This window comes from Homo sapiens, chromosome 3 (assembly GCF_000001405.40).
Source record: "Homo sapiens chromosome 3, GRCh38.p14 Primary Assembly".
NCBI lineage: Eukaryota > Metazoa > Chordata > Mammalia > Primates > Hominidae > Homo > Homo sapiens.
In genome coordinates, this window is record NC_000003.12 from 112,025,776 (window position 1) to 112,029,785 (window position 4,010).

Below are 4,010 nucleotides of genomic sequence, written 5' to 3' on the forward strand. Positions count from 1 at the left end.
CTGTCTATTAGAGGCAAGTTTACTCTGTTGAGAGAGACAGTTCTCCAAGTCTCTCAATATCCTACAGGCCTTATTGGGTGGTATGCATTGAATTATGTCTCCCAAAAAACATACGTTGAAGTCTAACTCCCACAACCTTAGAATGTAATATTATTTGGAAATGGGGTTATTGCAGATATAATTAGTTAAGATGAGGTTATGGTAGAGTAGAATGGACCCTTAATCCAACAGGGCTGGTGTCCTTATAAAAGAAGAAACACAGAGGCACACAGGGGAGAATGCCATGTGATGATAAACGCAGAGACTGAAGGGCTGCAGCTGCAGCTGCTAGGAAAACACAAGGAAAAATTCTACCCTACAGGTTTCAGAGGGCACATGACCCTGCCAACACCTTGAATTTTTAGCCTCCAAAACCACGAGACAATAAATTTCTGTGGTTTTAGCCTTCCAATTTGCGGCAGCCCTGGGAAACGAATACACTGTGTATGCCAAGAATACAAGGCCCTGACTGCTCTCCATCTTGGCCATTTCTCAGGGTGTGTTTGTGGGCCCTGTGGGAGGAGATAATATCTCCATCTTGGACAATGAGAAGGTTTGCTTATTGTTTGCTGTAAAAATGGTAGATTTTCCAAACTCTGCATTCCTCAGCTGCAATGGAAACCCACTACAGATGCAGCATCCATCTGGACCATGTTGTATCACCCCTGTGGGACACCCACTGACACTCATGCTGTTTGCTGAGCCATGAATCTTGTGTCTTTTGCTACCATCCATAAAACAGTTAACAGGCTAACTTATTAGCTTGTAAATAAGGTGCAAACAAATCCCAGACCTAACTAATTCCTGAAGAGGCTATCACCAATTGCCCCTCCCCAAGGTTATTACATTGAAGGATACAATACAGGGACCTTGTCTTCAAGGAGCCTAGAGTTTAGTTGGAGATAGGATATCCATATGACAAATTAAATAGCCAACAAGACAGATGATAGATGCTACAAAGTAGTGCTTGATTAATTATTACATTATTTAGAGTTTCAAGTACTAGTATGTACCATAAAGGTTTTGAGTTAGGAAGAAGAGAGTGTCATAGGGTGGGGTGAAAAAGCATGGAGGAGAGCTATAAGTAGGGTATGGAAAGTGGTTAGGATTTGAATAGCAATATGCTCTGGGGGCACGAAATTCAGGGGAGAGGGCTGTTAATATCAGCTTCCTCTAAGGTTCTAGGGCATTTGTTCACATCTCTGTTATAATATTTATTACATAATATTATAATCAGTCATTTGCATTTCTGCCCCCTCCAATGAGAGCTTTTTAAGGGCAGTAATAGGTTTTATTCAGTTTTTAAAAATATTTGATATGTCATATAGTAGGCATGAAATAAATATTGAGTTAACAGATAGATGGATGAATAAATGGAGGAATAAAAATGGAAAATGCATGATTTGACAGAACAGGGTCAGTATATGTGACAGGAGTACACAGTTAGAAAGGCAGCCTGGAGCCACACTGAGGAAATCTCGAATGCCAGGCTAGAGGGACTGAACAAAAGGGCTGCCATTTGTTAAAGATGGAAGTGACGTTAGAGTCATTTTAGGAAGATTTACTAACAGTGATGTACTCATGGGTCAGAGTGTGGCAGATGAGCCTACAGAAGGAAAAGCAGTTAAGAGGATATTGCAATGGCCCAGATTTCAGATGCCATACTACAATTTCACTTTTAAAAAAGATCCATGGCCGGGCGCAGTGGCTTATGCCTGTAATCCCAGCACTTTGGGAGGCCCAGGAGGGCGGATCATGAGGTCAAGAGATCGAGACCATCCTGGCTAACACGGTGAAACCCCATCTCTACCAAAAATACAAAAAAAAAAAAAAAAAAATTTACCGGGCGTAGTGGCGGGCGCCGGTAGTCCCAGCTACTTGGGAGGCTGAGGCAGGAGAATGGTGTGAACCCGGGAGGGGGAGCTTGCAGTGAGCTGAGATCGTGCCACTGCACTCCAGCCTGGGCGACAGAGCGAGACTCCATCTCAAAAAAAAAAAAAAAATCCATGTGATGTGACCCAAAAGATTAGATTCATGCTCCCTGCAAGTCATCAGGGAAAGGGAAGCCAGGATCATTGTTACACGAGTCTATTACAGGACACCGAGAATGATAATGTTAAGTGGCTGGCTGACTTCCCAGCATCCTGTGCAACCTTGAGATTCCTCAGGATTTACTCCCCCTCTGCAGATAACTCAGTGGACAGTGGTGATCAGATGGCAACTTTGCACGTAGCCACTTATCATAATAGGGAGAAGTGGGTCCTAAGTAGCAGAAAGACACTTATCAGTTTCTGAAGAGCTGACCTCTCCTCTGGTTAGGCAAAGATGAAAGTGTCACCTCCCGCTGCTAAGTGCCTTCTATGCCAGCAGTGCAGAACCTTGTTCACATTAGATAGATGATTTGGACTTACATCCTGTCTTCACAATGTGCTAGTCTCAGCACAGGGATGGAAGGTTGAAACATCTAAAGTGTTTTCGTGTGTTGAATTCATGTATTGATTATGTGTTTGCTCCCAATAATCACTGCTAAATGCAATGGAGAAATATCTCTCCTTTGATCTAGATCACTGTACACTATCTGCTTAGAAAGCCAGCTTTCAGACACCTACCCTGCTTCTCTTAGCACAGGGGCCTTTGCTCCAGGGAAGAAATAGAAATCTCTCCACCGTCTTCTAAACTGCTTATGATGGAAAACATCAGCATGTACCCGGCCATTGCGATTGTCTTTGGTCATATGCTCTGGGATTGAAAGGACTCTGTACCAGAACTTCCATACCAGTAAAAAACAACAAGGAGATCAATGCATACTTGCTCACCAAGCTTGTTGCAAGCTTGCTTATCTTACATCCCAGCTTTCTTTGCCATCATCACTCAAAACCAGTGACTTATCTAGTGTATTTGACTCTCAGAGATGATCATTTTCCCCTCAACATTTTATTAAGAAAAATTTCAAACAAGCAGTTGAAATAATTTTATAGTGTAAATGCATATACCCACACCTAGATTCTACCATTAACATTTTGCTGTAGTTGCTTTATCATATAACTGCTCACTTACAGTAGATCATTTCTTTCTATATTTTGTGTTGTATCACTTGGTCAAGATTTATTTCAAGGCCTGAAGACATTCAGACTAATCAAAATGGTACTACAGTAATTTATTATAATACATAAATAATATAAAATTTTGAAAAATGCTGACACAATTCTTAAACAAGGATACCCTTTGATTTTCAAAAGTGAGGGCTATTTAACAAAATGCAAGATGACAATAAAACATCAAATAACTTTCACACACCTAAGGAGAACATAATTAGCAGCAATCTATTCAGACAAAACAAGCACAAATATTTTTACAATTTCCATGTTTGTTTTTAACTTTGCTTCAAAAATCCATGATAAATGAGGCTTCTTTCAAGTATAGGATTTCTAACATTTACAATTATGTTTTCTAAATATTTCTATAAAGAAGCCACAAACTATATTGTTTGCCATAAATACGTACAGCAAAAAGTAAAACACAATCCAACTGAGTTTATATATGATTTTCTCTTCTCCAACAACTTTATATGCTTTTCTAAATAATTTAAAATATTTTAATTAAAATCAGTTCTAATTCACCTATGCAGATTAGGGGAAACTGATGCATAATGAGTTATCTTTAAAAATAGCTTTTGCATAGTTCTACTCCAACCCCGACCCCCATTTACCACCAGATCTGTTGCTAGAGTGAACAATGATGCAAGATGCTGTTTGAGGAGCCCAACACAACCTGTAATCTTAATTTCCTAAGTATCCAAAGATTTCAACTTTCTTCTGGTATAAAGAAAAAGACTCAAATGGCCAAAAATCATACAGTTAGTAGGAGGAAAAATCCATATTATGAAAATTATTTAAGTAAAATTTTGGGCATTTCCCTGAAGCTACAAGCACTCTTTAGACAAGCATCAAATTACATTGTGCATATGCAAC

At 39.6% G+C, this 4,010-nt stretch overlaps 1 pseudogene; it reads right to left on the minus strand.

The window, feature by feature from the left end:
- On the minus strand, positions 3,128 to 3,509 carry RFKP2 (riboflavin kinase pseudogene 2; annotated as a pseudogene).